General features: G+C 37.4%; 1 protein-coding gene across 30 annotated transcripts in view; it reads left to right on the top strand.

Annotated features, from left to right (window-relative positions):
• NEK10 (NIMA related kinase 10) overlaps positions 1-13,687 on the top strand; it is a 262,900-nt gene that overhangs the window by 72,561 nt on the left and 176,652 nt on the right. For 24 of the 30 annotated variants that reach the window (XR_001740034.2, NM_001394969.1, XM_047447506.1 and 21 more), the window contains 8 exons: positions 1,133-1,210; positions 3,171-3,235; positions 5,237-5,339; positions 5,433-5,561; positions 6,069-6,206; positions 9,080-9,125; positions 11,862-11,983; positions 12,119-12,221. Coding sequence is in view for 29 of the 30 variants with exons in the window: in NM_001394969.1 (NP_001381898.1) it covers positions 1,133-1,210; positions 3,171-3,235; positions 5,237-5,339; positions 5,433-5,561; positions 6,069-6,206; positions 9,080-9,125; positions 11,862-11,983; positions 12,119-12,221 (784 nt within the window). In the remaining variant the exon portion in view is untranslated. The remainder of the gene's footprint in view (positions 1-1,132; positions 1,211-3,170; positions 3,236-5,236; positions 5,340-5,432; positions 5,562-6,068; positions 6,207-9,079; positions 9,126-11,861; positions 11,984-12,118; positions 12,222-13,687) is intronic. The other 6 variants (XM_047447508.1, NM_001394968.1, XM_047447507.1 and 3 more) reach the window with 1 other exon arrangement.

Raw genomic sequence — 13,687 nt, 5'->3', positions numbered from 1 at the left:
GATTATTAAGTTAAAAATGATGATTGAGACACAGCAAACAAAATATTTATTGCCAAGAAACTGATTTTGCAAAGTATAATCCACTAATTAATCTACTATATGTACAGCTATATATACATGTTTGTGTGTGTATGTATATATACACATAAATATAAATTAATAGATCTATATTAATAAACATACACATGTATATGTACAACCCTTGTATGGGTTTCTATCACAAAAGTTACCTCCTACTTAGTGAATTTTACAGAGAAAACATTTTTGGTTGTGTCATTACAATATCCAACTTCAAGATCCGTACATGTTAGTAAGGGATCAGCTCATCAATGATTAAATTAGGACATAAGAGAAACTCAGCAGATCAGGGGGTAGTTGATAGAACAGGGCATCTGAAGTTGGCCAGATTGAGGTTCAATTCCTGGAATTATTACTTCTTGGCTTGGCTTCTAAAAAAATAATGTATCCACTCTAAGTATTGGTTTTCTCATGTATAAAACAAGGAAATTATAGACTAATTTCACAGAGTTGTTACAGAGATTAGATGCAATAAGGCAAATAAAGCTCTTTGCAGTTATAATATGAATGCCTGCACACAGTAAAGATCAGTACATTATATATTTACTAGATAATAGAAAAGTGGCTGTAAGGTATTATTATTTGTTCATTCCTTCATGTGTATATTTCAATTAAAAAATCTAGAAAGATGTCAAGATTATAATAAAGACATAAATTAATAACTGGAATATAATTTCTCCCTTTATGGTTGTGGTAATTAAGGATATAAATAAATATCAAAGATATAAATCTAAGATATTGGGACACCTTTACTCTGTCCCTTTTTAATCTCTCATTGTTTTTAAGGTATTTGAATCACTTTACGTTTATGTACTTTATTATAATCTTGATTCTCCACAGACAGTTGAAATTTTAAAATTGTAGTTGTACTCTTTGGTGTTTAAAAGTGTTATGTTGACATTTTAAATATTGTCCTGTAATGTTTACTTCAAGGTCCATAGTTATACTAATATTTCTTCTTTGATATTAATGTTTGAGATTGTTTATTTGCCTCTTTTTGCTTGTGTATCACTACAGTGTTGTCACTCATAGTATGACCCCTTTATTCTTTCAGGAAAATGGTGTATATACAATAGCAAAATTAATTTTACCAAATAAGCAAAAGAATGCAGCAAAAAGTAATCTATTACAGGTAATAAACATGTCTCTTGTCCTTCAGTATCAAGTTATTGAAATCTTGGGTAACTATGGTAAAATGATCTATGATTTTTAGAATGTTTAGGTTAGTACTGGTCCCTGTACTGACTATGAGGGAAAAATATCTGGCAAGGAAGACTGGCATGGAATCAAATAATATTAAAACAATACAGAAGGCTTAACAGTGGTTTCTCTGTGTGGGAGAATTAGGTGATTTATTTAGGTGTTTCTTTGCTTATCAATAAGTTCTATTTTTTTAAAAAAATATGCATTCCTTATGTATCAGAATATAACAACAGGGGGAAAATTATTTGCCATCATGGATCTTGATGGATGAGAAGGGACTTGCCAAGTGGATAAGGGGATATTGGGTGGGGCACCAATGGCATCTGCTGCAGGGTGGAAGGGCATTCCATGCAGAGGGAACAGCATGCACCAAGTGTGAAAGCTGTGAGCTTAGAGTGTGCTGAGGGAAGTGTGAGCTGCTCAGTGGGGTTGGGGTGTGTGGTTGTGGGGGCCAGTGCTCCAGCAGATGAGGCCTCACATGTAAGAAAGGGGAACAGTTAGCCAGGTTCTACATTCATTTTTGAGGAGTGGGTGTTGGGAGAGCTGAGTAAAGGGTGAGCTGCTCAGTGGAACTGGGGTGTGTGGTTTGGGGAGGCAGTGCTCCAGGAGTTGAGGGCTCACATGTAAGAAAGGGGAACAGTTACGCAGGGTTCTATGTTCGTTTTTGAGGAGTGGGTATTGGCAGAGTGGGGGCGGGGGGCAGTGGCCCTAATGTCAAAATCTGATTTAAAGTTAGTCTTTGCAATAGTTGTAGCTCATCTTTTTTTTTCCCCCAAGTCATTTTGAAAAGGAAGAAAGAAACAACCTTTGTCTCCAATCTGATTTAAGAGTTATCATCCAAAATGATGGCCAAACCCAGCAGACTCTTTCGGGGTGTCTCTGTGCTGGCAGGCAGGGGTTTTTGGAGCGCTACCAACGGGAAGGTGCAGGCATGGGACTTGATTTCTTCAGTGCATCACAGATATATGACACTGTGCTGTTAAACAGATAAAGACAAACCCATCCTGCAGAGACATTTCGTTAAGCCAGTAGAGGGTTTTTTAGAATTCCAGATGGAGGGCTTTTGAGGAATATGCATGCTCTCCCTTTCTCACAGTCTCCACTGCTCTCACCTGGCTCCTTCATGTCATTTTGTTACCGGCCTCACCTCTCTGGGCAATTTTGTATGGGACCCTTCTGTGTTCAGATCACTGATTTTAGGAAATGATCCCAGATTTGATTCACCAAACCCTGATCACTCCAATGGTGGCCTATTGTGCAGGCACAGCTGCAGGCTGGGCACACTCTTTTTTCTCAGTACTGCAAAATGTCAGATGTTTATTTTTCCTAGGTAAAGGCTCACAGGCCTCTTTCTGAGCGTTCTAGGGAGTTAGTGTAGATTGTTCTATTTGGGGAATGCTTAAGACTCTTTACTCAAGAGACCAATTTGTCAAGTTTGAATCCAGTGTGCCTGCGGCTATTTTTATATGTCATCATTTCTAGTGTTTATTTTCTCACAGAAACCATATAAATATTGAGGTATACATAGCAGGCTAGAAACAAAATAAACCTTGAGCTCCTGGAAATCTTTAGACATTTGGTTTTCTCAGCATCGGAATTTTATTTCTTGTCTCTGTACTCATTTTGTACTTTCTAGAAAGAAATTAATGACGAGTACCAAGTGAAGCAAGGCCAATATTCCCTGCATTCTACAACATAAACACTTTTTAAATACAGGAATGACCCCAGGTGTTGGTGTTTTTTGTTTTCAGTTAGAAGCTTTGGCTCCAACTTGGACCAGCCACTTACAATAAAGTCACGTTAATGTTTACTTCCTGTTAATTCTTTCCTGAAAATGTTTTAATTTGTTGAGCTACCATTTGAGAATCACATATCCTTTTGTTTTCTAGTGTTATGCTTTCAGAGCCTTGAGATTTCTCTTCAGTATGGAAAGAAACAGACCACTCTTTAAAAGGTATGAGGTTAGAGAAATATAAGTGATCATTAGGTTTAGGAGATCATTAGATTGAACTGTTTTCACATACTTGGCTTAGATGCAACAGAAGGAAAATAATGCGTCAGTATGCAAACCATGTGTCTTCAGATTTCTTATTTCACAGATAGAAGTGAGCTACTGTAGTGATTCAGTATCCAGCCACACTGAATATTAACAGAATGATGATGAAAGAGCATAAATTGCTATATCAATACAACTCCCCTTAATTACATGTGACTGCTGTGATTTTAGCTTTCTTTTTGATAATTAAAGATATTAACATTTTTAAAAGATGGCATTAAAATATGAGCTTCTTTTTTTCCAGCTAGAAATTTGAAAGTCAATCGGGTAATTTCACTTTAATCAAAGGGAATTTAATCAAAGGGAAAACAAACTGTTTTTTTGTGTGTCTTTGATGGTGTAGGAGCTCATTTGAAGGGGAGGCTGGATGTTCTGGGGTCAAGATACTGTGTTGGTGAGCCTGACCAAAAGGTCACCATTTCGGGAAGCAAACACTGGTTCCCTCAGTGGTGTTCTGCACACCATTTAGTTAGGTGGGTTAGCCAAAATCATAGGCCCAAGTTTTTATTAAAATTTTGTTAATAAGGCAGAATAGACATAAAGTATTGAGTTAATATAGTATTTTTTGTTCAGAAAGCATGGAGCGTCACTTTTCGGCCTTTTGGCTGAGATCAAGTGCAGAAAGCATGGAGCATTTTATGTTGTTACTTTATTTCTATACTGTTTGGATTTAGAGGAAAATGAAGTAAAATTAGTTCTCTTTTTTTTTTTTTTTTTTGACAAAGGCTCATCCTGTTGCTTCTCCTGCCTCAGCCTCCTGAGTAGCTGGGACTACAGGCATGCACCACCACACCTGGCTAATTTTTGTATTTTCAGTAGAGATGGGTTTTCACCACGTTGGCCAGGCTGGTCTTGAACTCCTGACCTCAGGTTATCCACCCGCCTTGGCCTCCCAAAGTGTTGGGATTACAGGCGTGAGCCACCACACCCAGCTACTTATTCTTTATAATCTTTCATTTCAGAGCTCTAAATCATCCCTTTTAGTGAACTCAAAGATTTTAAAACCCCTTGAAACCAGTGTCTTGGGAATGATGAATGAATCTCTTTATTTGTTTTATTTTTCATGTACCAGTATTTTTATTTTCATGAAACTTTTATTTAAAAGTTGGGTTAGTATTTACTTCTTACTAAAATCTGAGTTAAATGACATTTGTGAAAGTGCTCCACACCCAAAAAAACACCCAATAAATGTTTCCTTCTAATGTATTCAATGCCTATACCCCCAAATATCTTACAAGTAAGATTTTTGTATAATCTGTATCATATCTAATTTTAAATTATGGTAAAAATATTAACATGCCATCTACCTTCTTAAAATTTTAAGTGTACAGTGTTATTAACTGTAAGCACAAGGTTGTACAGCAGATCTCTAGAACTTTCTTCTCCATTTGTTTTTTTCTTACCTCTCAAAAACTGTAAATAGTGTATTTTTTCGAGATAAGTTGGGGAATATTATTTCCCCAACTTTGTTGATAACCAAAAGAAGTTAAATTTGTTTCATGTAATTAATCAGTGAGTGAGCTGCATTCAAAAGGGAAGTAATGGGCCGGGTGCGGTGGCTCACACCTGTAATCCCAGCACTTTGGGAGGCCAAGACGGGCGGATCACGAGGTCAGGAGATCGAGACCATCCTGGCTAACATGGTGAAACCCCGTCTCTACTAAAAATACAAAAAATTAGCCGGGCATGGTGGCAGGCACCTGTAGTCCCAGCTACTTGGGAGGCTGAGGCAGGAGAATGGCGTGAACGTGGGAGGCAGAGCTTGCAGTGAGCTGAGATCGTGCCACTGCACTCCAGCCTGGGTGACACAGTGAGACTCTGTCTCAAAAAAATAAAAAAGGGAAGTAATGATCAACTGTGTCCAAGTTCTACTTTAAGTGTGTGTAATATTCTCTGTAGACTTTTCCCCACAGACTTGTTTGAGATCTTCATTGACATAGGGCATTATGTACGTGATATCAGTGCTTATGAAGAATTGGTATCCAAGCTGAATTTATTAGTGGTAAGTCCTGAGTTTTCAATATTTTGGCAGGCTGCTATGTAGTCAGGATGTAATTTATCACAGAAACCCATTTCCTTTTTATATTTTGATTAGGAGGATGAACTGAAGCAAATTGCTGAAAATATTGAAAGCATTAATCAGAACAAAGCTCCTTTGAAATATATAGGCAACTATGCAATTTTGGATCATCTTGGAAGTGGAGCTTTTGGCTGTGTTTACAAGGTGACTTTCCCCTTGGGGAACATTTCTGATACTCCCAACCAAACCGGATGTCACACTTGCACACCGATATTCAATTGAATTAGAACTCTTGTCATTGAAAAATAGCAAACAGATATGAAAATTAGAATGATTGTTTTTGTCCAACAGAGATAGCCACACTAATATTGTTTTAGCTGTAAGCTCTAGAAATTGGCCACTGACTTTTTAAGACAAAAGGCATTATTAATCTCTCACAAAGGTATTCAAAATAGTTTCTCCCAATGCATGATGCAATCTCTAAATTAAAAAATGCTACTAAGTATTGCAGACTGACCCAGGGGATACCAGTGTTTTGATGTTTTGAGCTGAGCTTAATGTAAATACAGCTGGAACTTTAAATGCTCTGTGACTTATTTATATGACTTAGTTACTCATGTGACTTTGTTAGTCTATCTCTTTCTTCCTCTTTCTCTCTTCTCCTTCTTTACCCTGTTCCTTTTGTTGTTGTTGTGTTTTTCTTTATTTTAGGTTAGAAAGCATAGTGGTCAAAATCTTTTAGCAATGAAAGAGGTCAATTTACATAACCCAGCATTTGGAAAGGATAAGAAAGATCGAGACAGCAGCGTAAGGAATATTGTTTCTGAATTAACAATAATTAAAGAGCAGGTAAATGTTTTCCTTGTTTCTGAAGATGTTTTTCTTAAATACATGTCATTGCAAGAAAGTAGAGTTGTGGTGCTCTTGTCCATGCTGCTTATGAACTAGTTCCATGTGAAATAATTGACACTGAAGCAGTGATATTTTTGCCAGCTTTTTTCCTAAGGCTTGACATTGAAGCATAAAACACTGTCTGGAGTTTATATCAGGGTCATGGATGCAAAACAATCGGATTTACAGTACAGAATGCATCATATATGAGAAATCCTTTTCTTTTCATTGTGAGCATATCTATTCTTTTCTCCTTATATTTTAGGATATTTGGTTACTTAGTTACATACATAGAAATATGACTAAGAGTTTCTTGACTTTTGCCAAATGGAACCAAGCTGTTAACATTCCTCAAATATGACTTTATTAGATCTAAAATGTAGATTTTCAAGTTGGGTTATTATGTATTGGCATGAGCAGAATACTCTGATATAATGTAACAGCTCAATTAACTCTCATTATGAAAGTTTGTTTGAGGAGGAAGAATAAACATTTCAAAGAGAAATGGAATTTCTTTGTGTGATCCAAGAACACATTGGTTTCTTTTTCAGCCTTCCTTATTTGCACATTCATCACGAATACTGTTCATTTATAATTCCTGTGGTGCACTATCAGCTTTGCTGCTTTTGTCCTCCACTGGTCACATTTGCATAGCATCTGTGTTGGGATGTAACAAATTCCATAAACAAGGAGACCTTTGTTCATAAAAATCGATAGTTCTACTCCAGTGTGTACATTATAGTAAATATTATCATTAATTGTTTATTTTATAGTTGATTTTATATACTAATAGACTAGACTTTAAAAAGTTTGTTCATGTGTAGTTTGTTCATGTGTTTGTATGGTCATCTAGCCTTCCACAGTGTGCTCTTTCATTGTAGCACAAGGCTAGAACAGGGCTTTTGACCTAAGCCAGTCCAGTGTTTTCATCTGGACCCAAATTTGGTTTTAGTCCTTGTGGGTGAGCCAGGTCCAGAATATGGTTCTGGTTGGTTACCTGGTCACATATTGCTTACGATCTGCTGGCCACTTGCTAGTTGATGCAGTAGATTATTTGTTTTAGCACATTTCCTAAGAAAAGAAACTGTCAAACTAGGGTCAGATAGGAAGCATATGCTTGGGCTTTGAGGTAACTCAAAATTGCCCTCTCACTAGAGGATCAAACTGATGGAAAGGATGATAACATTGAGTCCTTAAAGGAGGAGGTAGTGGCAGGCAGAAGCAAAACAAATGGGGCTAGAATGGAGAGTACATTAAGATTAACCTGCATTAACAAAGAGGATCCCAAATGCAGGTGCTTAGAAAGAGGACTCACAGTACAGTGGGTTATTTCTCTTTCACGGAACAATCCCAAAGTGAGTAAACCAGGTTGAAGGTGTTCTCTGCTCCATGCGATCATTTGGGGATGCAGGCTTTTTTCTCTCTTCTTGTGCTGTTACCTTCTAGTGCACTGTCTTCATCTGTGTGGTTGAAACTGCCATAGCCATGCTCACATCCAAGGTGAGATGAGGAGGATCATGGAGGGCTATTCCCAAGGTTTAGAGTTCACACAGGAAGCACACATGCTTCCTCTCATATTCCACAGGTCAGAACTGAGTGGTAGCCTCACCCCCAGCTTCAAGGGAGGCTGAGAAATCTTCTCTAACTGGGAAGCCATGTCCAGCTTCAACTGTATTGCAATGGGACAGCAGGTTTTTGGTGGACAGCTAGCAATCTCCCTTCAAAAAGACGTGCAGAAAGACCAAAAAGAGATGCAAGCAAGCCATTTGTTGATGTGATGGTGACTGTTCTAAGACAAATTTTATCTAGAAACTCAAATTATAAGCAAAAACTACAAAATTATTAGCATTCTTCTAGAAAATGATCTTTTTTAATTAAAAAATTAGAAATTCCACTAACATTCTTAACTTATATCAAAGAGAAATTGCACCATTTTTTAAAAACGGTGAGGAAGACTTTATTCAATACTATTGCAATAGAAGTCAAACTATTGTAATAGAGGAGAGAGATTGAACCCAACTCTGAATTCGAGGACTGGACAGCTGGGGACTCAGAGCCAATGGTCAGGGTGAGGGAGGGTCAGTGGATGGAAGTTTACTAAGAGGAACTTGGTTAGATATCAAGGGTGAGTGGATGAGAAACTTAATTGGATGTCAAGGGTGGGAAATTTTTCCATAAACTGACTTAGCAGGATATAAGTTGCTAAAACTGACAGACCAAGGATGAGGCCTAGTCACGAAGAGGACTCAGAGGAGCCTGACTAAAGCTTGGTTAAGTAGGAAGTCCTTGTCAACTGTTATTATGACTTAAACTGAGTCGACTCTTAGATTATGTTATTTTCTACTAATCATTTTGGAGAGCATAGAAAGACAGAAATAGTGTAAATAGGCACAAACTTTCCATAAATATTTAGATGGTAGAGAGAGGTAAAGAACAATGAATATTTGTAGTCAACAGAAGTTACCGCATTTCACTTTTCTCCTTTATACAGTCTGTGTGTCGGGTTGTGACAAGGTGTGCTAAAGGAATTCTTAAGGTTCCTTCTACCTCTATAGTTCTCTTGGTTAAGTTCGATAGTAAAGTTAGGTGATAGAACGTTTTTAATTTTATTTAATAAAGCTATAGAGGATTGCTATTTTCAGATCAGTTTATAAGCAACAAGTTTTTAAAAATCACAACAATCTCAGTTCGATGATATCTTGAAATGCTTAGTTTTGTAAATAAATATAATTTCTTTGTAGTTTTCAAATATGAAGTCCAACTAAGTAGTCAGTGAAAAAACTTGTATTTTGAAGCAGTGCAATACATGTTTGTTATTTATTTTCTTATAGCTTTATCATCCCAACATTGTACGTTATTACAAAACATTTCTGGAAAGTAAGTATGAGTTTTCATGATATTTCTAAATAAGGAAACATTTTTGTCACATATATTTTTGTATCAGAATGTCACAAAAGAAACCTAATCAACTATTTTATTGACCTTTTTTTGTTAATATGACAGTAGATGGTCTTAAGCATCACTTTCTTGACTAGTGAAACAGTGACCTAGTCAGTCACCTGAAGATAGTTATAAAATACTTAGCTGCCTGTGTGAAAAACGCATGAACAAACCAAAATAGTTATTGCTATTCTCATATACAAAAAAATCACTTAATAGGATCAAGGAAAAAGAAAACTAATGGATGGTGGTTTCCTTAAGAAAAGAAAGTTGTTTTTGTTGACTCAGGTGTCATTTTCCATCCCCAAAATAAGTTGGAGAGAGCTAGGTCTTTGAGATTTCTTTTACCTGAAGTTCAGGTAAATGCCACAAAGGTGGCGATGGAGCCCAGACTGATTCTGGCAGCCAGGCTTGCTTTCTGCAGGTATGATGGAATGCTGAACTAGAACCAAAACAGATAAAGCTAAACTCAGCCACTCTTTTTTTTTTTTTTTTTTTAAGTAGGGCCTATGACAGAAATAATACAAGTATTGCTAAGCTTTAATGATATGTGTCACATATGAAATGTCGAAATAAATCTCCACTTGAAGAATGATTTAAAGAGACATAAGGCAATGACTGGGGCTTCCGGACTACCTCTTTTTCAGTGCTATTGTTATTTAAGAAAACCTTTTGTGTGTGTATTTTGCCATTTGTTACAATTTTACCCATCTCCCTTCCCCTAGATGACTCAGAAAAACTCAGTGCTAAAACTCATGCAGTAAATCCTGTCCCCTTAGCCATTTGTTCTTGATATTAAAATAATTTTCTATAATTTAGTGTATATCCCTTCAAAAAAATCAAGGTTGGCTTCAGACTTGTACTGAAATGATATAAATTGTCTTAATATAAAAAACAAAAACGTTTTTTACTACCTGACAGCTTCCAAAAAGAACTGGAAATGGCGGCCGGGCACGGTGGCTCACGCCTATGATCCTAGCATTTTGGGAGGCCGAGGCTGGCGAATCACTTGAGGTCAGGGGCTCGAAACCAGCCTGGCCAACATGGTGAAACCCTGTCTCTACTTAAAAAAAAAAAAAAAAAAAAAAAGCTGGGCGTGGTGGCAGGCGCCTGTAATCCCACCTACTTGGGAAGCTGAGGCAGGAGAATTGCTTGAACCCTGGAGGCAGAGGTTGCACTGAGCCAAGATCGCGCCACTGCACTTCAGCTTTGCCACAGAGCAAGACTCTGCCTCAGAAAGAAAAAAAAAGGCTGGGCGCGGTGGCTCACACTTGTAATCCCACCACTTTGGGAGGCTGAGATGGGCCGATCACGAGGTCAGGAAATCGAGACCATCCTGGCTAACACGGTGAAACCCCGTCTCTACTAAAAATACAAAAAAATTAGCCGGGCGTCGTGGCGGGCGCCTGTAGTCCCAGCTACTTGGGAGACTGAGGCAGGAGAATGGCGTGAACCCCAGAGGCAGAGCGTGCAGTGAGCCAAGATCGCGCCACTGCAGTCCAGCCTGGGCAACAGAGTGAGACTCCATCTCAAAAAAAAAAAAAAAAAAAAAAAAGAATTGGAAATGGCTTAAAAATACATAAAATATGATAAAATAGATTAGGAAATTGCAATAAAGAGGAATGAAGGATGAGAAAATTAAAAATAAAGCTAGAGGTAGTATTGGTACATAAATGAATATTTCTTGAAATTATGAAAAATTGGAAACAATATAAATGTCTATCTGTAGGAAAATGATTAAATAAATTATGGTATACCCATATTGTGCAATACCATACAACCAGCAGAAAGAATGGTATGGATCTGTGTGTACTGAAATATAAGGCTGCTTAATGAAAAAAAGCATAAATTACAGAACATGATTCCATTTTTGTCAACATTTTCTACACACATATTTTGTATACATCCCAAGGTTTCAAAAGACACATATCACATCCCATTGTTAATAAACCCTATTGGTTTTAGAGGAGGAAGTAGAATTTGCTCCTTTGTTTTTTGGCATCCAAAGCAAAAAGACAAACACAATCAGTCATGAAGTTCTCTGTATCTGTAAGATAAAACCTGGAGAAGTCCAGTTTTGTTTTTTTTTGTTTGTTTGTTTGTTTTTTTTTTTTTGCTTTTGAAAGACATAACAGAAATTTCTATCATGTGTGTTATTTTCAACTGTGTCATTGCAAGACCATGGCATTATTCCAGTGTAAAATTCTGTAAGGTAAATCTATCAGACTATGAAACAATACAGTTGAAAATGCAATTTTCTGAATGTCTGACTTGATTTGAGCGTAAATTTTAGACTACTGGGAGGAAGGATGGGCTTACGGTTTCTTCAGGGAATCCTCCATGACTGGAGATCATTTACTTGTTCTCTGTGGCACCTTTCAATCATTCCACATCCTGGCATACATAGAAAATGATACATTTGCCAGTGTAAACTTATGCTAAGGGGTTGTCTGTAGCCAGAAGATAACTGTGGCTGGGCCCCAGTTTCCCTAAGACCCCCTCACCTCCACCTCTTCCAGGGCTGAGTGGATCCATATTTTAGCACATCATCCCTAATTCTTTAGTGTTAGTGTCCCGCACAGACACTGGGAAGCTTGAACTCTCATTCGTAAAGTTTTTCAAGATGCCTGTATTGAGTTTAAATTTCTGTGACCTTTTGTGATATTTATATAGATGATAGGTTGTACATAGTTATGGAGCTGATAGAAGGAGCCCCGCTTGGAGAGCATTTCAGTTCTTTGAAGGAAAAACATCACCATTTTACTGAAGAAAGACTATGGAAAATATTTATACAGGTATGCTTTTATCTTCATTAAATTTTTCTTAAAACAGTAATGTTCTGAGCTGGCTTCTTAAAGACGTGCAGTAGTCATCTTTGGCTATATGTATGTTGGGGGAAATAAAATTTGTTTTCTATTCATTGTTTCAAGCTGTGCTTAGCTCTTCGATACTTACACAAGGAGAAGAGGATTGTCCATAGAGATCTGACACCAAACAACATTATGTTGGGGGATAAGGACAAAGTAACCGTTAGTAAGTATAAAGATTTTTAAACTTTTAACTGAAGAATTCCTGAATACTATCCTAGAGTAGTAGTGTCCAGTAGAACTTTTGGCACTCATGGGAATGTTCTTTGTCTATGCTGTCCAATACAGTAGCCACTAGCCACATGTGGCTATTGAGCACTTGAAATGTGATTAGTGTGACTGAGGAAATACATCTTAAATTTTAATTAATTTTTTTTTCTTCGAGACAGAGTCTTGCTCTGTCACCCAGGCTGGAGTGCAGTGGTACGATCTCAGCTCACTGCAACCTCCACCTCCCGGGTTTCAAGTGATTCTTGCACCTCAGCATCCTGAATAGCTGGGATTATGGGCACCCGCCACCATGCCCACCTAATTTTGTATTTTTAGTAGAGACAGGGTTTCACCATGTTGGCCAGGCTGGTCTCAAACTCCTGGCCTTGTGTGATCCACCCTCCTCGTCCTCCCAAAGTGCTGGGATTGCAGGTGTGAGCCCCAATGCCCGGCCAAATTTTACTAAATTTTAATTTAGACATCCCTATGTGATAAGTGGCTACCATGTTGGACAGTGACTAGTATAGTTCTAAATGACTGAGCTATATTTTGCCCATATGAGGGAATGAAGTACTCTTAGAATACTTAAGTATTTAATTCCAAAATCAATGGTTTTCAGGTTTTTTCTTACTGTAGAACACTGCCTCATCAACAAAAGCTTTTATGACCAACACATGAGCACATTGTTTTGAACCATTTTACCATAGTCTGTGCCTTATGAGTGACAAATGTACATATGGAGGGCTATAAATCCTCTAGCCATTTGTATATTTCAACATAGAGTTTTTATCACAATTTACTTCATCTGTAGCAGGTAGGCCTGATGTTGGATAAAATTTCGCAAATGAGAAGGCTTACTTTCTCCTCCCAGTTGTTGAATTCTTACTCATAACTTAAAATTAAGTTTTTAGCTTAGGATGACATATTAGCTTTCTCCTGCCTGCCTCATGAACACTTGTGTTACCCTCATGGACTTTAATGGTTCACTAACTACAATTAGGGAGACACCTTCCTAAACCAGCAGTCTCCAAATGTTTTTCACCGTAACATCCCAGCAATAAAAATTTTTTGAGAATACACTGCCAATATACATAGGCTTATGTATAAATTCTATACATATATATTACTGAACAAAGATTCTGTAGTAAATAACAAAATCTACAGAAATAAAACATAAAGGAATACATTTAAAAATAAAAATAGAGGTCTTAATATTTTTGCTGCCCCTACTCCCATTGGGTTGCCTTAGAAACTCAGTGCTGGAGACTACTGCCATCAATGTTATTGATGTGGAGACATCATTGATGTCATATGACAACATATGACAGCATCTAAAGCTGAGTCCCTTGGTTTTAGAATTTCAGTACCCATGAAGGCAATTCCAAATGTACACATTTGCTATAACAACATGTGTTCAGGAAT

Source organism: Homo sapiens, chromosome 3, assembly GCF_000001405.40.
Source record: "Homo sapiens chromosome 3, GRCh38.p14 Primary Assembly".
Classification (NCBI taxonomy): Eukaryota; Metazoa; Chordata; class Mammalia; order Primates; family Hominidae; genus Homo; species Homo sapiens.
This window is presented reverse-complemented; position numbering and strand designations above follow the sequence as displayed.